The 23,112-nt window shown below is 39.3% G+C and overlaps 3 long non-coding RNA genes across 5 annotated transcripts in view; 1 reads left to right on the top strand and 2 right to left on the bottom strand.

Annotated features, from left to right (window-relative positions):
- Positions 1–792, top strand: part of LINC01905 (long intergenic non-protein coding RNA 1905) — a 54,038-nt gene extending 53,246 nt beyond the window's left edge. For both annotated transcript variants that reach the window (NR_146510.1, NR_146511.1), the window contains one exon: positions 552–792. This is a non-coding gene — a long non-coding RNA (long intergenic non-protein coding RNA 1905). The remainder of the gene's footprint in view (positions 1–551) is intronic.
- The window catches only part of LINC03069 (long intergenic non-protein coding RNA 3069), a 187,650-nt gene that overhangs the window by 91,911 nt on the left and 72,627 nt on the right, over positions 1–23,112 (bottom strand). The window lies entirely within an intron of this gene.
- LINC01539 (long intergenic non-protein coding RNA 1539) overlaps positions 1–23,112 on the bottom strand; it is a 54,181-nt gene that overhangs the window by 12,168 nt on the left and 18,901 nt on the right. Inside the window, exons 4-5 of one of the 2 annotated variants that reach the window (NR_040026.1) lie at positions 10,004–10,090; positions 7,168–7,306 (exon numbers count right to left, since the gene is read on the bottom strand). This is a non-coding gene — a long non-coding RNA (long intergenic non-protein coding RNA 1539). The remainder of the gene's footprint in view (positions 1–7,167; positions 7,307–10,003; positions 10,091–23,112) is intronic. The other variant, NR_040025.1, reaches the window with a different exon arrangement.

The raw sequence follows: 23,112 nt of genomic DNA on the forward strand, positions 1-23,112 counted from the left end.
CTCTTTTTCTTAACTTCTGTAGCCTTTTAAAATTCAATCCTAATATGGGGATTGGAACTGAAATTGGTATACAAAGCACCTGGCACTGTACTGGTTACATAATAGAAGCTTAAAAAATGTTATATCCCTCTCTCCTTTATTTTCCCCTCTTTGGGTTGGACAGTTCCCCTTTCCATTCTCCCTTTGCTCATGAAGAGGATGAATCTTCCCAGAACTCAGCTGCTGAGACTGACATATCAAATAGCTGTGGCACACTGATTGAAAGAAAGGCTTAAGAAATCTTTGGCTACAGCTCCTAAATTTCACCTGTGACAATGAACTCCTATGGAAAACATCTTCATCATGGGGTACACAGAGTTAGCCTGACCACCAGATATTTTCCTTCTCTCTTCTGCAGTCCCATTGTTTCAGGTCAGAAGTGAACAGACAGTGGGTGAGACATGAAGCTCTAGCCAGAAAGGGCTAATGTAAGTACAGGCCAACCTCTGATGAAATAAATGAGGACTGTAATTCTGAGTTGGTCTGTTCCATTTGCCTTTCTCCAATCCCAGGTGATGGCCACAGTGGCAGAACCTAGGAAGCCAAGAAGAAACCAGAGAATGGAGACACATGGCAGCAATGGCAAGTCATCAGACCCAGGATTTCCCAAAGAACACTGGTCCAGGAAGATGCTCTGTGAAAAAGTGTTCCCTGGTCGGAGAAATTTGTGAAACACTTTGCATAATACTTAAAAGAATGTATGGCACATCAAAGGTAATATGCAATAAAAGAATTCATTTTTTTAAAACCAAGCATATGCACAACTTATTTAACTATGGATTCGATTTTTAGATTCATATTTTTTGACCCACATTTGTGGAGCCACATCCATAGAACAGATTTGACCATGCTTATGGTTATCATTAAAAAATTTTTTTAAATTCAGATTGATTTTGGAATTGGTTTCCCATCATAGTTCAAGTAGATACTGTCCCAAACAATCTGAAATCAAGAAATTAGCAAATGGGCTTGTTGTTTGTGGATTTGAATGGATTGAATTCCTACAGCATTGAAGAAAGATATATTTTAAAGCCTATTTTTGGAAAAATACTCTTAGTTGGGTATTTCATTTGATTTGGTACACAGTAGTCATAAATTGCCATCTTTTTCTGCTGTACTTTATCCTAAATATATTCCATGGTATGTTTTCATAATTAACATGCAAATAGATGTATAGTTTATAATTAATTTCAACTGGGCACAGTGAAAATCTTGAAAACCTCAGCATGGAGGCATCTTTGTTGGTAGAAATTCAATGAAATCCCCAAACATCTTTGGTTTTGCAATCCATAATTTGCAGATTATTAATACAATAAATCCTTGTTGTCTGTGAGAGTTGGCATCGTACCCATGAACTCCTGTGTAGAAAGCCTACAAACTAAAAGTCCAAATGGAAAGAAAAAATCACGTGGTTTCTGTGTATGCTCATTACCTGCTTCTGAAACCATAATATCTCGGCCTTTTATAGATCTTATAACAGTCTCCGCAGGAAGCAGCTGCAGTCATTAGCCATAGGACAGACTAAACACACAATCTGCATGGAAGGAGGCCTGGATCAGCTTGGTCTTTCAGATCTCTAATCTCAGGCACAGGAAAGCACCATCAACAGCACCCTTTGTATATATACATAAAGGTAACATATTTTATCATTTAAAGGGATTTGAGAAATTGAAGAGGCCCAACTCTTTTTCTGCCTTCTTTGGTTTGAGGCTTAGATTGCTTAAGGGGCTTGCCCAGGATCACATATCTTGTAAGAGACAGAGCAAGGATTCAAAGCCAGTGCTGGCTTCTGTGTCTCCATTCTTTCCATTCTCCTCCAGTGGCTCTTTTGGGAAGCTGAGGGAGGAACAGCAGCAGAATTGGGTGGCACCTGCCCATGCCCATCATGCACTGAGCATCTTCAGGTCTGGCCATGGACCCCTTAATTCCTAATCCAGAATTCCTCCCATCACTCTTTGCTGAGAAAAGCACTAAAATGGAGATATTTGTTCCAAAATCCCAAATTTTAATTCCATAGAGCAAAGTGTCTTTATTTTTAAATCATCCAACTCATCATAAATTCAGCTGGATTCATTAGAGTTAAAGAATTGACAACACCAAACATTTTGTAACAGAAGTTACTGCTGCTTAAGGAGTTAGGGTTCACCTTTTCCAGAGCTCTTCAGTGCCAACCCAGCACCAATATCCCAGCGTCGCTGGAGGGAATGATGGCGCCCTGCATTTCAGAGAAGATTTAAAACCGAGATCCTAACTGCTCATCATCATTAAAAATCTCCAGGCAGTTTTCATAAGAGCAAGGGGGTGGTTGCCTGAGGTTTTGGCTGACAGTCAACCCAACTAATTACATTCTGTCTACTGTGTCCTCCCGCAGTTTCAATTGGATATGTTTTTTTTTTTATTTCCTGTCCTAATCTGAATGTAGGGTTGCTATGTGTTCTTAAGCAGATGCTGCTGTTCTTGCTGGTAGAAGAGGCTTTTCAGATTTGTTTTTTTCCTCACAGAAAGTTTTTGAGACTTTAAATAAAATAATTCTTCTAAATGTTCCTAAGATCCTGGCACCAAATACATTCTAAATGCAATGTGTGCAGGTAAGAATCTATTTATATTGTTATTTTCCCTCATCAAGTATTGACATGAGCAGACATGCTTAACCCTGAGGTGATAATGTCCTACTTATAGACAGTCAGGTCACAGCAGTGCCCCTTAGCATTCTCATCTCCTCTTCTTACTGATTACACGTTCTCCTGTTGCTCCTATTACTGGTGGATTTCATGAACAACTCACACATTCTGTGGCATAGTTGCAATGAGAAAGTCTTAAGTTAGTGTTCTATCTATCTACCTATCTATCTATCTATCTATCTATCTATCTATCATCTATCTATCTATCTATCTATCATCATCTATCTATCTATCATCTATCTATCTATCATCTATCTATCTATCTATCATCATCTATCTATCTATATCTATATCTCTATCTATCTATGGTGCTGGAAGTCTAATAAAGAAGAAGGAGAAAAATTGTTAATATGATATTTTCTGGTCAAATTCCTCTGTGAATTTCATCAGATGTGGCCATCAATAGCGCAAGATAGAGTTCTTTGGTGGAAAGTCAGGAATCCAGAGGCATGAATTTTATTTCTGCCCTCCCACCCACCTTGACTTCAGCTCTGTGACCTTCAACATGGGCTCCCACCTTCCTGAGACACACAGTGAGGAGAAAAAAGAGGATCTCTAAAACTCTTGGAACCTATAATTTTATATAACTTCACCCATGTTTGAGAGAGAGACGATATGAGCTTGCACATAAAACATTCAAAACAAAGTTTAATGATGGGCTTTCTTTTTGCTAAAATAATTACCAAAAGTTGTCAGATTTTTTTAGTTGATCAGATTAGAAAACAGTGATAATGTTTTGAAAGGCTTGTGCTATATACCAGGCATGGATCTGGGCCTTTTATTTCTGTTAACACATCTGATCCTCTCTATAACCCTTGTTTGTATTCTCATTAGTCTCACATTAAAGATGAAGGAACAGAGACATAAAAACGGTGATTACCCCAACGTAAGAAGTGAGAGAGCCAGGATTCACAACCCAGCAGTCCAATTCAAGAGTCCACACTCTTCACAGTTCTGCAGCACTGCCTCTGTGGGGGACAGGCACTTTATAAATTTCACCTTGCTTCACACATTCATTCATTGTCACAGAAGTAAAAAATGTGGTTCCTTCCCACCTTCATCCTCAAAGATTTAAAAGAGAGAAAAATAGAATGTCTTCTGAAAGTTAAATTCTAAATCTACACTTCAAGAAACAAAGCAAAGATATTCAGAGTAATTAAAAAAAAAAGGAGATGTCCAAATTTGCTCTTTTCAGTCCAGCATGGACCTGATATTTTTAATCACTCTCCCACTTTTCAGCAGGACATTGGTCAAGACTTGAGTCTCCTTTGCCTTAGGGTTCACCCACATTCTCTCTGCTTCCTGGGTGGGATGCCAGGAGAGAATTAACTATCTAAAGGCTAACTTATCTTAAGAAAAAAAAATGCATCATTCAGAAGAGGTTTTGTTGACTTTCAGAAACATTGAAGGTGTGTCCTTGAGTCAAATGTCACCAGAATCCAAGCCAAAGGGGAGGATCGTAAGGGGCAGAATTCCACTTGGTTGTTATGGGTGGCGTGTGTGTCCCTGTCAAGGGAATGCATGTCTTGGGCTTTTTGGCTGGAAAGCAGTCCATCTTTAGACCATATATCTATTTCCCTTCACACTTTCTTCAAGTCTATTAAATTCCCTTCTGATGACTACCTAGCCTGTTACAGCAATGCCGATGGGGGATAAGATGCTGCCCTGCCGACTGCTCCGCTTCTCCTTGCAAACAAGTTATAGGCATAGCCTCGGGAGCTGCAGACACATGAGTCTGTCTCTGACACCACTCCCCATGAGTGTGATTGCAAAGCTCAAATCCTGATCCCCAATACTGAGGGCCACACCTGACCCCATAGTAGGTCCATTATGCAAATGCCCCCTCTCAAAAGTTTCTTTGGTTTCTCTTGATGCTACACCTCTGTCTGTTGGAAATTCACACATTTGTCTTTAAGCCCACTCATCAATGTTATGAAATTTTCTAGGACTCCAGTAGAAAGTTACCACAGGTGTGTTTCTCAATCACAGCTTTACACCCTCAGTACAATGAGCTGCAGTTTTCAGTTGGGAAGAGCATAGTCATGCACATTTATTCCCATGGGTGCATCTTGGTGTTTAGATTCACGTGCGTGCCCCTATTTGCAAGATAAAAACAAGTATAAAATATGAAATTGCAGCAAAATTCAGAGTGTGGAATTTCTATTTATCAGAATGTGATAAATGTCAGGATAATAAGCCTCTCGAGGGAACAAACAGTTTCCTTGAGCACTGCTGCGAGGGCTATTATGAACAGACACTGCCAGGCCATGTGTGAGGCACAGAGCAAAATCCCCCGCCTCTCCTTAGGCTGAGCATCACTAGTGATTTAAAATTCAGAACATCATGACACCAGTGACAAAGGGATCGCTAGAAAGAAGTCCTCAGTGCATTTGAGATATTTCCAGTTCATTGTAAAGAAGAAAATGAATAGATGGCAATTAAAACCAAACTTTATATATCCCAGCTATTGTGTGAAGTATGTACGGAATTGTGATCAGAGAAAAGACAAAAATAACCCCAGCTTGAATTATGTTATGTATTTTAAGAAAAGGATGTGTTTTGAAGTAATTGACATTTCAAAGCTTAGCAGGAATAATTAGTCTTGATGTCACCTTTATTTAAATCAATTTTAGTACAAATCAGAAATTAAAATATTAACCAACTAGCTTGATTGTCTGTTTTGAGTTAAGCAATAAGTATTTAAGTGAAGTCTGAGGATCAAGCACTGTGCTGGTGGGTGAGTGGGTGGTGTATAAAGGTGGTCCCTGCCTGCGAATTCTTAGAGTCTAATAAAATAGATAAAGTTTACACACAAGAAAGTGCTAGAATAAGCAACTTTCATATCCAATATCAGGTTACATCAGTGATTCTCAGTCAGGGGCCATCATGCCTTCAAGGGGACATTTGGCAAGATCTGGAGACATTTTTGGGTGTTTCAGCTGAGGGTGTGCTGTTGGCATCTAGTGGGTAGAGGCCAGGCTTGCCGCTAAACATCCTACAATGCACACGACAGAATTATCCACATCCACTTAACTGGCATCAAATGGCAGTTGGGCTGGGGCCACATGCACGTACCCTACACTACTCCAGCATTGATTTGTACTAGAGAAACAGAGCAAAACATATGTCAGCTGTGGTTCGTTGGTAAAGTCCCCAAAGAGTTGGGGCTTGAAGCTGGGAAGACCAAAACTGTCCATGCTTGTGGGGCCAGAAAGTCCCCTTGTTTGACCACCAGAATTCCCAGCTGCTGCTGGACTCATGGCACTCAGCCTTCGGCTGAGCCTCCTCTTCCTGTTTTGTACTGCCGGGTACATATCAAGGCTTTATTAACATTTAATTAAGCATTTATTATGTGCCAGGCCTGTGTAACCACTTTACAGGTTTTAAATCACTTAGTACTTCTAACAATTTTTAAAGCAGATTCTATTATTATCCCCATTTTAAAGATGAGACAACTGTGGCCCAGGAGACTAAGCAGGTTTTTCTTGTATCATACAACCGGTAGATGCAGAGTTGTTTAAATGCAGGTAGTTTAACCTCAACAACTATGCTATACCGCTTCTCTGTCATATGACTTTTTACCTCTACTAGCAGTAGTGATCCAATTTCTTTCAGATTCCTTTCATAATAAAGTGTGCACCCACAGAAACTCATACTCAGAAGTATGCAGACAGGCAGCACATGCACCCGGAAAATCCTGAGAGTAGATGTGTGCACCCTCCTGTCTTCTGGCTCCAGGAATCTCCCTTGTAATCTCAAGGAAAACTGTTGGCTGGAGGGAAGGCTCTTCTCTCTTCATACCTGAGCTAAATTCTTGATAGGAAGAACTGGACTATTATATTTGAAATCATAGAGCTTGAAATATAGTTGATAAAGCAAATTTCAGATTGTTAAAATAAATTACATACTATTCTACAGTGGAGTTATTTTTAAGCAGTTATATGTGGAATGTGTCCACATCACATTGTTCATTAAAAACCAAAACGATTGTACACCAGTGCATATAATATAATCTTGTTTTTATTAGGGTAAAATTATGCTATTATATGTATAAAAATAAGTCAAGAAGAATCCATGCCAATCTGTCAACAGCAATGGTAGAATTGCAACCTTAGGAGGTGAATTAAAAGAAATTAAAGAACATAAAAAGCAAAAAACTTCTTTCCCGAGTCCCAGAGGAAAGTTGACTAAGATACCATAATCTAAGGGTAGAGATCATTTCCTTGGAGAGCATGCTCAAAGCCAGTCCAGGGCAGAACTGAGGAGTGCAGAAAAATGTGTCTCCATGGAGCTCAGCTTTGACTTCACTGCCTGTTTCGCTACTGACAATACTTCCTCCACCCAGCACCAAACGCTTCCCATCACACTGCAGCAGTAAGAAAGAGGGTATAGCAATTCCATCCTCTCTTACATCTATCTCAAAGAAACTAGTATCATTATTTTTTACCTTGTGGTATATTTGAATTAATGAAGATTCCTTTTCCAAGAATGTTTTCAGGTTTAAACTCTATCTCTCATTGTAGCATGAAGGAATTGCAAAGATAGCAAGTAGATAAAAGACGTACTTCACAGGAGCATCCAGCCTCCTATAGGTAACGATTTTCCTATATTATCCTTTTTATTCAGGTAGATTCAATTAAAATCACACACATTTATTTTCTTTATATACCTAACACCAAACAGTATTCAGGATACCAAAGGGAATATAGAGATATGAAATTCTAGGTTCTGCCATTAAGCAGTTTTCTGTTTGTTTGTTTGTTTTTGAGATGGAGTCTCACTCTGTCACCCAGGCTGGAATGCAGTGGTGCAATCTCAACTCACTGCAACCTCTACCTCCCAGGTTCCAGTGAATCTCCTGCCTCAGACTCCCAAGTACCTGGGATTACAGGCACATGTCACAACGCCCTGCTAATTTTTGTATTTTTAGTAGAGATGGGGTTTCACCATGTTGGCCAGGCTGGTCTCGAACTCCTGACCTCAGGTGATCTGCCTGCCTTGACCTCCCAAAGTGCTGGGATTACAAGCATGAGCCACTGTGCCTGGCCTCATTAAGCAGTTTTTAAAAGTTAGTTGGAGAATAAGCAGATGTGTAAATGAGCTACTCTAGGTGCTATAGTCAAGGGGAGGAGGAGAAGGAGAGAGGTCAGAGGAAGGAGGGTTTATACCTCCTTCAGAGAGTCAATGTTGGCTTCATGACGAAAGAGGTATTGGAGGTGGACTTTGATGGAGGGTAGAATTTTAACAGGTGGGGAGTAGCAGGTGAGGCCAACTTAAATAGTGGCAGCAAGCAGGAAGCCTCTGAAGCAGGACATCATGGGGCATATTCTAGAAAAACCCAGAGAGCAGGATGGCTGTGGCACACGGTATTGTACAAGAAGAGTAGGAGATCAGTTTGAGAAGGGTCAGTAGCATGGTTGTTTACCAGGGTGTCTGAGAAATGCCTGCCTAAAACTGAGTACACATATATAATATTTGCTTCAAGCAACAGAGGAGGGAATATTGCCTGAATAACCTGCCTCTATAACAGACATTTATTTTAAGCCATAACTAACTGATAGGAAGGAAAGAAGGAAGGAAAATATGAGGAAGGAAACAAAGAAGGAAGGAGGAGGGAAGGAGGGGAGGGGGAGAGAAAGGAAGTAATGGAAACTGTAGATACCGAAATGAAGAAGGAATTAAAAACTAGAGTATTTGAGGGGAGTAACTGGTGGAGGTATTGAATTTAGTAACCTTAAAGTTTGAAACCCTCAAGAAATTAACATAAAATTCAGACACAGCCTGGTAAAACTGCTTGGGCACCAAGAAGAAGTAAATTCAAAAACTCTCCAAAAGGACACACCATCTAACCAGGTACAGACAAATCCCTGCTGAAGAAGAGCTTACAACTCAAAATTGTAAAAGTGAGCAAACAATCCTATATGAGGGTGAGTAAAAAGACAGAGGAAACAGTAGGATTAGAACCCCAAGAACATCAGATAACAAGTATTTGATAGACACTATAAAATAAGTATGTTTAAATGATTAAAGACCAAAAAAGAAAGGAAAAGAAAACTATACAAAAAAGATACTATGGAAGAAAAAAGAAAATGTTGATAAAGAACCAAATGGAAGTTGTAGAATTAAAAAATTTTAATCCTTGACATTAAAAATCAAATAAATTAAACAACGGGATTAGATACTGCTAAAGAGAAAATTAATGAACTAGAAGATAGAGCAGAATCTATTTTCTGGACTACCACAACAGAGAGATAAAGAAGTGGAAAATATGATAGAGAGGTTATGAGACTTGGAGGAAAGCATACATCTATGATGAGTCCTAGAAAGGGACAATAGGGTTATTGGAAGAATAGTAATATTTGAAGAAATAATGGCTGTGAATTCTCTTGTGTAAATGGGAAAGACAAATCATCAAATTCAAATGCACATAGATGATATGTCCTAGATGCCTCTCTTCCGACTCTAGCATGAACCAGAATGAAACATGAGGGTTTATTCTGCAAGTTTGACCACAGTATAAGAAAATGATTCAAATAGGAAGTGATGGTATCTGCAGATGAACTGGCTTCTGCCCTTGAGGATTTCCACTTTGTCAGCTTTGATCCTGCCTCTTCCCTTCTCCACTCCCTGTGCTTGAGCTTTGGTGTTTTGTTTGTTTGTTTTTCCACCATACCTGGCTTTTGGAGATACGTGGATTCAAGCCTTCTTTTCATTATGATTAAATACTCATGTCTTTAATTTCAACTGAGACTATATAAGAATTGACAAATGGAAAAAAAATTTTAAACACACCAATACTCCCCGTATTACCAAATCACACAATGCAAAAACAATTTTTTTAATTCAAATTTGGGTGAAGGACAGTTTCAATGGACTTGTCTGGCACAGCTTTTGGGTACTCCATCTTCAAATTATTTTATTCTTTCCTCCACTTCTAAAGTATGTTCTAAATATCCATGTATGACAAATTGTGGAAACAATCCTGGTTTGAAGGTCACAAAAGTTCAGGGCTTAGCTCTGTCACTGTTCTGACCTTGGGAAATCTCCTGACCTAATAACAAGTGTGTTATGGTTTAATTATGCCACCCAAAAAGCATGTGTTGAAACTTAATCCCCAATGCAACCAGTGTTGAAAGGTTGGACCTTTAAGAGGTGACTAGGACATGAGGGGTCTTCCCTCATGAATGGATCAATGCTGTTATCGATAGAGTGTTTTCGTGATAAAAGGGTGAGTTTGACCCCCTTTCCTTTTCTTGCTCTCTTGCTCTCTCACACTCACTTGCCTTTTTATTTTCCTCCATGAGATGATGCAGAATGAAAGCCCTTGCCAGATGTTGGTGCCATGCTCTTGAACTTCCCAGACTCCAGATCTGTGAGCCAAATAAACATCCATTAATTATAAATTACCCAGGCCATGGTATTCTGCTACAGATGCACTAAGCAGACTAAAATGAATGGCAACCTGCTCTGAATGCATGCTGTGAATCAGGCACCATGCCAGATGCCTCATATGCATGTTCTCACTTAATCCTTACAAGAGCACCATGAGGTAGGTTCTCTTAGTAACTCCATTTATAGCTGAAGCCATTGAGGTCACCTGCCCATAGCCAAGTGATTAGAAAAAGGAGAGGCCCTCTGACTGCAGAGCCCAGGTCCTTTAACTGCAAACTCTTTTGGAAATCTCAACCACTTTGACCTCCAGCCTCATTGGCCACTGGTCTTTTGTTTTCTCCTATCTCAAATGAGGCCACCATTACATTAACATTCTATAATGAGTTTGTGTGTGTGTGCCTGTGAGTGTGTGTGAAATTTAAGTTCCAGTGAAGACAATAAGGAATTTGCATCTGCTTCTAGGGAAAATAAACAAAGATACTATTCTACCATAGTTGGAGATAATGGCTGATCATTTATACATAAACATGGTTTTCAAAATTAAAAAATAAAAGCTGTTATTGTGCAGATTTTATTATTTCTACAAATTACCAAAATATTAGTATCTATTAAAAAAGTCAATCAGCTTAGTAAATAAGCCTTACCAATCCAATCAGTTTGAAATTCTACATTAGAAAATTAAGACGTTAGCCCACAGAGAGCTGCCAACTCAGGGATATTGGGCCTCCCTGCAAAGAAAGAATGCTAAAAACATGTACATAGCAGTTTGCAATCTGAATCTTCTACATAGCAAGGTTTTTAAATCACTTGCCAACTCCCCCCAAAACACCCCATAGCCTTCTCATTTACTTCTTTTTGTTTACTTCTTTCTCTTTCTTATTCTTGATGCCTGCCTAAACCCTACTTGTTTGATTTTTGGGATGTAAGACACAGTTCTTATTCTCCTTCTCCTAAGTCTCTCCCTCAGTTGACCAACCCAGTCTGTGGGATATGTAAGCTTCCTCTTCCAAAGTCTTTGGAGTCTATGCAGTGGTTTCCTTTCACTGAGCACTCATTCTTCACTGCCTGTTTTGTTAATTGAGAGTCATATGAATGTAGGAATCAACTCTTTGTATTTGCCACTGTTTTAAACTTATTTTCTTGCATATAGCATCAATCATCTATGAATATGAGTGATATCTACATGTGCATAAATATAGGGCAAATATAGTTGCATGCTCCATATAATTATGTGTACATTTTCTTAGTATTTATTTGGGTTCAAGAAACAGAAATCTACTCTACTTAATTTAAGACCAGAGGGATTTGTTATAACGATACAGGGATATCACATAGAACCTTAGTGCAGGAAGTACAGCCAGTCCTCTGAAGACTGAACTGGGGCCCGGAAAATCATCAGGAGCTAACCAGCTACTTTCTCAGTCTCTTTTTTCTCTCTGGGGCCACATGATCTACCATCTGCTCCATTCTCTTGCTTTTCTCAGCAGACAGTCTCTCTCTGCACCAAGTTTTCATGGGCCAGGGAGCACCATGACCTCTAGTCTCTTGCCTCATGGTTCATATTCTTAAGAGAAAGAATCTGAATGGCCCAGGTCATAGGTCAGGTTTGCAGCCCTGGTCCCCCATCAACTGTAGCCAAAGAGGAGTAAAATCTCATGACAAGACAAGGCAGGAGAGGCCCAGACCTTCAGCAGTGGCAAGGAGTTGGTAGGGGTGCTGTTCGAAAGACAGGAATATGTAGACATATTGCTTTCTTTTAAAAACAATGTTGATCATATACAGTGTGTGTGTGTGTGTGTGTGTGTGTAAAATGAACAAGTGAGCTAGTTAATACTTAAAAATTTTGCTTGTAAGTTTTATGCTAAAGAAAAATGAGAAACGAGTTTTTTTTCTAATGGGAAAATAAAAGAGATTAAGTTGTTAGAGGCTTGTAAGGACAGAGAGATGAAAATAGGATATAAAATTCAATAGAAAAGCACTCTTTTTGAAAATGTTATTTAAGAAAGAAAATTCTGACATCTACATGCAGGGTAGGAAGGCTCTGGAAACAACAGTGGGCAGGCAGCCCATTTGGAGTTTAAATTTTATAATCTTCTGTTCATAATATAGAACCAGACCACAAAGGTTTAAAGAGTGTGGGCTAAGTGTCCCTCACTCAGCAGACAGCAACTCGTTGTAGATATTTAAAGATTAAAAGCAGAGGCAGTTAGTCAACTGTGTAATATTTACTGATTTGAGCAGCTCTACCATACAGACATCTTACACATAAATTTAACTCTTATTATTGTGTTGCCCTTTTCCAAGAAAGGGTAAAGTGGATTTGTAGGAGCACTTAACACATGTAAATTCCCCACTCTTTAAACCAAAGCGCCTTGTATTAAAGAGCTACATAAATTTTACAAGTATTCTGTCCTTTTGAGATCATAGATCTATTCTTTCCTGTACCACAATTAAAGCGATGCCTCTTTGTAAGCCAGTTCCATGAAACTTGTTGGAAGATATCTCACAAAAGACACCGCTTTTGCTAAGTGCATAATTGCACCGAGGATATAAGGATGTGCAGAGGTTCCAGGCTGGGGCATTCTCAAGCCTCTGTCAGCAAAGAGCTCACTGTTTCATTGGCCACTGCAGCCTTCTTTGAACTTTATTTACTCATTTAATGTGCTTCTCCACTTTTCTTAAAACTAGCTTTAAAAAATGATTTAAAGCATGACTTCCTTCACACAGCTAATAGTCCATGAAACAGCTTAGTACTTATAAAGGAATGCTCAAATTGATAGCGAAAGAATCTGAAATGCTATATTTTTCCACTGATAAGATACAACCTAGCCAGAGATCATGTGATTTTTATCTATCTCATCAACAGTATGTTTTCCCAAACTTTGTTCCAAAGGAAGCAAAAGTTGTATTTTAAATTGAAAGTGGTCAGTGCCAAATGATTTGATGGATCAGCTGGAATGATTAAAAATGTATTTTGTGAAAGAGATTAATAACAATTATTTTGACCAAATTCTTGGAAAATCATATAGTGACTGCATACATTTCTACCGGAAAAATAGCAAGTAAGAGATTTAACAGTTTTATCTAATCAGGCTTAGATAGTATTTATGAGAAAAGTTGGTTTCGGTTTGGCAAAGTCAGGTTTGAATTTCAACTGTTTCTAGACTCAATGATTTCAACTTGTGCTATGTGATATCTCCCAAGAGACTAGATATAAAATCATGAGCTTTGAAATATGTTTCCTAAATAATATTCCATAACAGAATTTTTGTTGAGTACACAGTGTTTCATCATATGGTTCTTTGTCTTAATTTATTATTATTATTTATTTAGCTCATCCCTGATTGTTAGACATTTTTATATTTGCTAATCTTTCCCTTATTATAAATAATTCTGTAGTGGACATCCTTGTAGATAAGTAATGTCCTTTAAACTTGTGCCCCTGGCTCCTCTCTCCCTCGGCTGCAGTCAATCTATTCCACGCCCCTGACTTATTAATCATGAAGATCATTCTTCTGGAAACAACATTTTGTTGAAAACAGGATGGTCAGATATTCTGGCTGTGCCCAGAGCCTCCACAATGTAGTTTTAACCTCCTGTTTCTTCATGATTGCCTGGTGATTTCCCAAGGTTCTGCTACTTGAAGTTTGGCTACAACTACCAGCTAATTTTTACACTACAATCCAAACCACTTTTTCTCAGAGGGAGAGGGATTTGTTGGGAGAAGGGAGTCCACCAGAGTCCTTCCTGGAGATCTTTGGAAGAGAAGACCATGAAAGAAAAACTGTTCTCTCTCCAGAGAGAGAACAGTGAGGATGTAATATGTAAACTTTGACAACTTAAGCAGCCATGTTTTCTGCCAGGTGAACACTGGAAGAGGAGAAAGTTTGCCTGCAGATGGAGAAGAACGAGCACAGGTAGAGAGGAGTGTGTGTGTGTGTAGGGTGAGATACAGAGACAGAGACATTCTGATAAACATTCTAACAGAGATGAAAAGAAAGAGAAAGATGAATTGAAGTGGCCCTTCCCTGGATGAATACAAGGAGAGAGGAGCAGCAGGGATGTGGGAGGGGAAATTCAACTCCTGGGAAGTAGTGGAATGAGAAAATTAGATCTGCTCACCTCTTTACTGCTGCCCTGCACACCAAGATCAGAGTTGGACTGAGAAGTGGACCACTCAAACGGGTACATGGTACACCAATGCACAAATGCATTTAAGTGCTCTTAGGAATATCTTACTGACACTGGAAAATCCCCAGGGGTATTCCAATGACACCAGAAATGTCGCAAGATGGAGCAAACTGCATTTCTAATACTCCTCTCAGGGAGACTCTGACATGCGGAGGGAAGGGATTCTTTGGTGAGCTGCTTGGAAGGCAGATGCGTTCCCCTATGAGACATGCTTGAGGTCAACAGATGGTCTTTAAGTAACCTTCAAACGAGACTGGGTCATCTTAAAATCAGGGTTCTCATGGAGCTTGGGGCCAAAGCTGAATTTATTTGGGAAGGAAGATCTTTGAGTGCTGCCACCCACTGCCTTTTCTCTGCCCTTCCCTTCATATAACATCCTATTCTTGTTCTTTTCTGAACATATTTAGAGACCATCAATTTGAAGGCGTGCAGAATTAAAAGCCTGCCTAGAGCCCCCCTCTTTTATCCTCTGGAGGACACCCACATGTCTGGCCTTGAGTGATTGTTTCCTCTTCTATATTTTTTCTTAGGCTCTTCTCTTATCTCTGCATGATGCTTTTTTCAAGGACTAGTTTACATTCTATATATGTTAGCCCAGTGGTTCCATCTAAGCCACCACGGACACCAACCTTGAACCCTCTGCAGAAGAGCTAATGAGAACTAGAGAGGCAACAAATCTGTACTCTAGATGTGATTCCTGCAAAGGCTAGTTGGCACAAGGGCATCCATGCTATTAGCTGGCAGTGAAAAGCAGGTGTATCTCCTGTGGAGTAAGGTGTCATATGAACAGACAACATCTATGGCCACAGGACACTTTACTTCCTCTGGAAGACCCAGACCAGAAAGTTTGCACAAGACGTCTACATTGTCACAATCAGGTGCCATTCTTATTATTTAAATCAACTTCTAAATGGCCACTTGAGTTTTGACAGAAATCTGTTCTAGAATTTAGCAAATGCAGAGAATGAAAAGAAATTCTGTCGCAGAGCCCAGTCTCTAAAGGCAGCAGGTGGGAGCCAGTTGAATGGTAGACACCCCCTAATTCTGGGCTGTGCCCATGCTGCCAACTCCTCAATATTATCATGAAGAGGGCGAAAAGAAGAAAATACATTTGGCAGTTTAAATCAGATAATTATTTTTTAAAAAGGTATGCTGAATATAACTCCCAGGTTTGATCCATCTGTTTAAACTTAAGTAAAAGAGCGTCACTCCTCAACTGACCATGCTACGTGATGAATATGCTCTTGAAATGAATGCTTTCAGATGGTTTCCTTTTATGAAACGTGCACAAAGATGTGTACTGTGGTGGTGGAGTTGGCCTTGTAAGACATCTGGCTACAACATGTGCCTCATTAAGTTACACCTGTAAGTGTGGGGTCATTTTTTATGCCAGTAATATTAATAATAAAGGGTTCATTGAATAGGATTATTAATGGTGCCAGGTGGAGGATGTAGTATTACTTACAGCCTGGTAGGGGATTGGCTAACGTCTCCTCCCACCAACGTTTCTGGTTTCATGTTTATAGACAGAGCCCTCCAGATGATGGCTGGCAATGTAGCCATTGAGAAAATGAATTCTCCGTTTCCCATCAGCAAGAGCATGTACAACAGTTGGTAGAGAATTTGAATGAATCTATTTTCTAATTTTGAATGTATAATCTTGTGGAAGAGCACGTAAGATATTTACCAATTAATTCAAGAAATTAAAAAGTCACTTTCAAAGTTTCACTTTCCCCTAACTTAAATGGAAACTTTTCAGCCCTAGCCATCTCCTATCATTTCTTATTTCAAGAGACATTCATCTCTGCATTTTCCCTTTGTGGTCACAAACTGCAAATCAAAAGGAAAAAAACTGAGAAGAAATCTAAAACCTTTCCTTCCTTCTGTGGAATGTTTGCCTTTGCTGTTTTACAATGCAAGACTTGTAACAGAAGGAAATGGAGGCTCAAGATAGGGCACTTTTTAATGTGCATTATTACAGGTGTTATAACATGTCTGGTAAATTCAAAGTATTGTTTGATTTGACAACCAGATCCCAAGACTTAGAATACCAACTCATGTTTTAGCTTCAGATCACATGCAACTAGAATAAATTTTTAAATTTAACAAGGCAGTTGTTGAATGTTAATTAAATTGCATTTGAGTAATAAAATCCAATTGATTGCTAAGAGTATGCTAAGGCATAATAGAAAAATTGTCTTTTACATATCTTTAGCCATTCATAAATACACACTCACATATCTATTTGTGCAGAAACAATAAACTAATGAAAACAGTTAAAAATCTATTTGTATCGCACTTTACAGTTTAGAACTGATCTTTTTTACATACATTATATTAACAGCTCTGTGAGGTAGGTGGTGGTGTTATCTTCATTTTGCAGAGAAGAAAACTGAAGTTCAGAGACTGATATTCTCAAGATACACACTTAGCAAGTGGTCTCTGCAAAACTGAAACCCTCCCTCATTGAATCTAAACTTTTATGTTGTTCCACTCCACCATCTGTTTCCCCTTTCCCAGCCAATTAACTCCCCTCGAGAAAAATCCTAAAATCCAGGAACGACTTCCACTGCCACCTCATTTTAGTATAAAGACATTTACATAATCTGGATGAATCTCATCGAGTTAATGATGAGTGGAGAAAGACAGCCACAAAGAATACATACGGTACAGTTTCATTTCTGGGAAGTTGAAGTCAGTCAAAACTAACCCAAGGTGACAGAAGTCAGAACAGTGGTTACCTCTAGGGAGAGGGTATTGACTAAGAGCACGAGGGTGCCTTCTGGGGTGTGAGAATATTCTGTATCTTGATATGAGTGGTGATGACTCACATGTATGCATGTAAAAGCTTAGCAGAACACAAGATTTGTAAAGTTTGTTGTAACTCTATCATATATCAATAAAAAATTAATTTTAAAAAGAGCTTATTGCATCAAATATGTACTAAATGTCCCTGAAATGTGTCCCCTTATATTTTTTATTTTGGGAAAAAGAATCATACCCTATTCTAGATTCCCTAGGCTTTCTCATGCCTCTACTATCTGTTCTTATTGTGCCTAGCTATTTCTTCTATCATTAATCATAGTATTTTATAATTGTCTGAATACATGGCTGTCTGTTTCTCAATGGGCAGAGAGCACTTGTTCCTTGTGTCCATGTTCCCAGCATCTAGCACAGTATCTGGCATGAAATATTTACTCAATAAATCCTTCTCGAGCAGTGAAAAAATGGATGAATGGATGGGCCAAATGACTTTTCATTTTGTTGTTTTATAACTCAGACCTAGGATATGGGTTATATTAGGATGTACTGTAAGATCAGGAAATAGGACATCAGATGGGGCTTTCCAAAAAGTCTTGGGTCATTGCCTTTCAAAGCTGGCTATAGTTAAACCACCATCACCACACCACCAATCCAGAGATATAAGCTCTAATGAGACCATTTCCACTGTTGGGATCTGATTGCCTCCTTTCTAGACCTTTCTATTACATGGCTTCCCCTGCTTATGACAAAGAGGAGCCCTCAACTCTATTCTTTTCTGTATTTATTCCTGCCTAGCTCCCAGCCCTTTGTCCAATTCTCTTCTAAATTTCTTTGTAGGGGAAAGTTTGTTCACACCCCGCCCAAAACAAAGAGGAAACCAGACTCCTGCATCCAGCACTCCAGCTTCATTTTTATCAGTAGCTTTCATCAGCCTTTTTTATTTATCTGAGTTCCAAGTTTAGAATGAGTAAATGTCACCATTATCCTAATTTTGAATAGTAGCCTCTCCTGTTGAAGGTTTCCAATTTCTGCTCTGCTTTGTGTTTGCTTCCTAGGTTTGTGGTTTTCCTTCTATCGAGACTGGCCTTTAACATAACTGTGAAGAAAGCAGCTTGTCCTGGGTACCTCCTTTCTTTTCCTTTTCTCCAACTGTTTTATTCTGTGAGTTGCAGATTATGTCAAAAGCACGCCAAATGAGCCTGCCCAATTCCAGGAGAATACTTGGGTTAGGTGGTGCTCTAGTAAGAGAATAGTTGGACTGTGCATTTTATCTTCTTGGCTCAAGCCTACTCAGTTGACTTGTTTACCATTGTCATCTCTACAACCTGCTCTTCACTTGGAGTGAAAATTCTCTAGATTATGTTTCTTTTGAGGGTCTGGTATGAAGGCTCTGTTGCTGTTTTGGAGCAAATAAACAGCCATCAACAAGTACTAGCATTCACCTGTCTGGTAAATGCTTCTGAAGATGGTGATTCTCCAAGGCCATGCCTCCTAAAACACTGTGCTTTTGTTCTGCTCTGATAGTCTCCATGAAGTTGCTCGGGTTGTGTATATATTCAGCACTTTATGGGGTTTGTACTCTTTGTGCTCTGGGCAGAAATACCAGGCAGTCAAATGCAGAAATCATAAAAATGCCCTGGAGGGTCATAGAAGTGATGGGATTTGGGGACTGAGGATAAACCTATCTGCTCTTCTTTTTCCATTTATACTCTTTAATGACTTATCTGGGCACTACAATGGGGGTAAAGAAGGACAGAAAAAAGCAAGTAGGAGGTAAATTAGCACAGAAAAGAGAAGGAAGATATACTTCAAATATAAATGTCACAATTTTGTGTGGTGCTCGTTCCAGAGTCTGGTTAGCCCAGAGAGCATGTTGGGTTTGCTCCCTCCACTCCATTTAAGCAAAACCCTCAATATTTGTCCCACACATCTGAGCTAGGGCACCCTGTGAAGACTGAAGACTATAGTGTCAAATAATCAAGTGCAGGATTGAGAGTCAGAGGGGATTGTATTCAAGTTCTGACAACTTCTTCCTCTCTAAGCCCCAACTTCCTCATCGTAAAATTAGAATAATAATATAAAAGTCACCACAAACCTGTTTTTAAGTGTCAGTTGAGATGTTATTTAAGAAAAAGTACTATAAATGGAAAAACATCTTCAAATATTAATTGTGATTATCCTGCCTCTTGCTGGCTGCTTACAGTAATTCGGAAAATTACTAAGAATTTTCCTTTCACTGGTCAGGCATATGCGAGAATGATTCCAAGCCAGGAAATTATTCTGCCTAGTTAAATGTGGTTGAATGTGTAGGCTGGTGGGGTAGTCAGAGATGGGGGCTTGGGGGTTACAGACAGTGGTATTAAATGAGGTAGTCTAGTATTTTCTCTACTCTGGGGCTAAGGGGTTTCCTTGCCAGTCATTAGGCATAGATCCATTTTCTAGACACCGGGATATTTAGTCACTCTGTGATTCTTCAAAATTGATGGCGGCTAATTCTTAAAATAACACTTTAATGGGTTAACAGCCAATGAAGGAGAGCTATGTTGATTAAACCTCCCTTACAAACATGTTTGATGATTATGAGAGTAAGGCACTGGGTAGATTGCCTTTAGGGTATTGTTAAATCTAAAATGTGTGAAACGTTGTCTGAAAGAGGAACCCAGTGCATTCTCCCTGCTCTGTGCTCCTCCAGCCCTGACTTGAAATGAGACATGGCTTGATTGTTATGGTGGCTGCACAGTCTTTCAGCACATCTTCTACCCTAAAGATGGAGGCAGCAGGAACCCCAGAATGTCAAACCAGGAAACCAAATCCAGCTTGAAGCCATTCTGTTATCAAAGTGATGCTTCCTTGCTCACAAGAATGCCTCCAGGCCAGCAACGCAGATCTTAAGCAGAGGTGAAACCACATCCTCCCAACTTCTGCTTGTCCGGTGGGATCAGTGCACAGCTGAATAGGGTGAGTATGAGAGGATAAAGATGCACAAAGAAAAGAGAGTAGGGTCTGGTAGGTGCTCCAGGATAAGCACTAGAGGAGACTCTATGACTGGAGGGGGCCTGATGAGCCTGCCTCAACTTGCTTCTTCCCTTTGGAAAGTACAGCAAAGAGGAACAGGGAAGAGAAAGGTTAAAAAATCCATTTGTGGATGGATTTTTAAAAAATATTGGGGAGTGAGTCAAAGATGATCTTAGGAACAGAGATTACTTCCTTCTTTTAGCTACATTTTCTAAAAGTCAGGGGGCGGAAGAAAAGGGAAGGAACATTTATTATGTGCCAACTTGGTGCCAGACATTCTGCTTGCACTTTTAACTTTACCTCATTTAAACTTCCTAGGAATCATAGTAGGTTTTTTAATCCCCCTGTTTCCATATGAAGAAACCAAGGTCCGTGGAGTTTCAGTTACCTAAAGTCACATGTGCTGCAGCCAGGTCCTACCAGATGTGCCTGCCTGCAAGGCACTCTACCATATTGCCCCTCCGTGCTTATGACTTCCCTGGTATTTCCAAAGGTCTAGAAATAGGGCTAGGAACATATGCTTTGATATGTTGTTCCTTAGGATTTTCAGGGACTAAAAAAGGGCAAACCAAACATTCATAAATGCAAATTATTTATGTAGATAAACCAAATGCATTTTTGTGAAAATCAATTAAAATTCTACAAGGCAATGCTTTTCTGAACAGTAGTGTGTAACTAACAACTGCTAAAAAAAACTGATCGTATAAATTAAAACCTAGCCCTCAAATTGGGCTGACTTCTAACAGCTTCAAGGTGGCCCCAGGATTTACAAATCGAGTGACCAGGTTTCAGAGACCTCTTCAGGTTCAAATAAGATTTACACCCAGACTTAACACATAACTTATGCCTGGAGATAGAATCTCATTTGGGGTGGGGGATGGGAAATGTGTGTGCACAAAAATTATATTTCATTCTGGGTTTACCCTAGAGGCAATTTTTGGAGTTAAACTACCTTAATATATTTAGAAGAAATTTAACTCTACTCCTGTACAAGTCCCAGCTTTGCTGAATACCATCTTCAAGCGTAACCTCAGTTGTGGGAAACTAAATACGTAAGTGACCAATGGCTAGACCATATATAAAATTAGAACTTTGATCCACAATCTGGAGCAAGCTCTCCAGGAAACCAACCTTTTATCTACTATAAACAACCTAGAAAGCCAGCCTGCTAGAAGTCAGACTTGCAGGAAGCCAGTCTGCTGTCTCTAGTGACAATCTAGGAAGCTATACAATAACTTCTGTAGCAATCAGCTCCAAGTGGCCAGAATTTGTTTAATAACTGGCAGCTTTCCTATTTTTTGTCCCTGTTTCCAACTTAGGACCAATAAGAGGAAGCCAAATATGCACCTCTAATTAATCACATAGCACACCCCACTTCTAGTTAGGCTGCTTCCAACTTTTCCATTTCAACAGGCTCTAATCAGGGCATACCTGAAGCTTTCCCTGTTTTCCACTCTAAAGCTTTCCCATTCCTGCCTGCCTTCGAGTCTCTGCCAAAATTCAGGTGCTTGTGGATGACCCCCTTGCTGTAGCACGCTCTCAATAAAGAGCCTTTGCTTTTCTCTTCTTGTTGCTTTTCTCTTTTTGTTACAACTTGCACAGTTGCATCATCCCATCTTCACGTGGAGCAGCTCCTTTGATATAGGAAAGACTGAAGACATACATTGCACATTGCAGATGAGGAAACTGAGGTCCAAGGAGGTCAGTGATTCTCTTTGAGTAGAACATGGTATAGTCAGGAGCCCACCCCAGAATCACAGGTGTCCTGACTCCTGCCCATTATTTCCCCACTACTCTCTGCTGCCTCCCAGCTGAGCTTTTAAGGAGGTGGGAGGAGGAGTCGATGAGAAATTGGAGTATGAATAGTGATTCTGCGGAAGATAACGCTGTGGTTCCATTCACCACATTTCTAAAATGGGGTGAAAAGACCTCTTTGTTGGAGAGAACAGAACCCAAAAAGTAATCCCCCCTCCTCTTCCCCTGGCAGAGAAAATGTAGAAGTGTCTCTTGGGGTTTATACGTCTTCTAGGCCTGCAAGCCAAAGCTGGTTCTCCACCCTGCAACCAATTTTCAAGAGCAAAATATTTCTTTCCTGTTTGCTTGTTTGTTTATTTGCCTCTTAAAAAGACAAACAAGCAAACAGGAATGAAAAAGAAATCCTAAATTCCTGCTTTTAGGTTAGCCCTGAAATGCATTAATCTCTTTCACTTGATGTAGCTCACTTTCATTCTTCCATTTTAATATCTTAGGGGGAAAAAACCCAAATAACCAATAACAGTTTACAGCTTTGACGCAGAGCACTAAAGTTGTTTTTCTATGAATATAGATTATTACATTTTTTTGCAAAGCAAGTAAACAGATGCATAAAAATGCATTATTTCAGGAGCATAAGAAAACCTGCAATAAGTATAGTGCTTTTAATTTGTTTTTATGATTACTTGTAATTAATTAGCATCAAAAGTAAATTATCAACATTTGAAATTGTACTATGAGATGTGAGCAGGGTACTCCATGAATGATTGACTGGTTCATCTTTATATCAAGGCAGGGAAAAGAATGATCTTTTCTTTGAATTTTTTTTTAAACTATGCTTAAATGAAAGTGCCAAAAGCCAGTAGCAGCACAGAGGAAGAAATTTTAAAACAACTGATAAGGAAGGCCCAGTTTGTCAAATGAAAAATGATGTCAAGGGTTAAAAATGATACACATTACCAGCCTCATAACAGGATTAGGGTTGTCTAAGAATGAAAATTTCTCTTTTAGAAAATATGAATAAAAATGGAATAGCTCTGCTAATTGAAGGAGGTTCACATACTTTCTCCAAACCATCACTTTCAGCCATAAAAAGGAAGACATTTTACAGATGTTGGTTTTTTTTTTTTTAACCAACTCTGGTTGTTTGTCACCATCCCTTTTCCTTTTAAGATTAATGATGAAATTACTTGCTGTAGCTTTGGTCAACTCAAAACTAACCAATAGGTTCCAAGGAGTGATACACTTGACCTCTTTCTGCACCCTCTGACATTTGCTG

Source organism: Homo sapiens, chromosome 18, assembly GCF_000001405.40.
Source record: "Homo sapiens chromosome 18, GRCh38.p14 Primary Assembly".
NCBI lineage: Eukaryota > Metazoa > Chordata > Mammalia > Primates > Hominidae > Homo > Homo sapiens.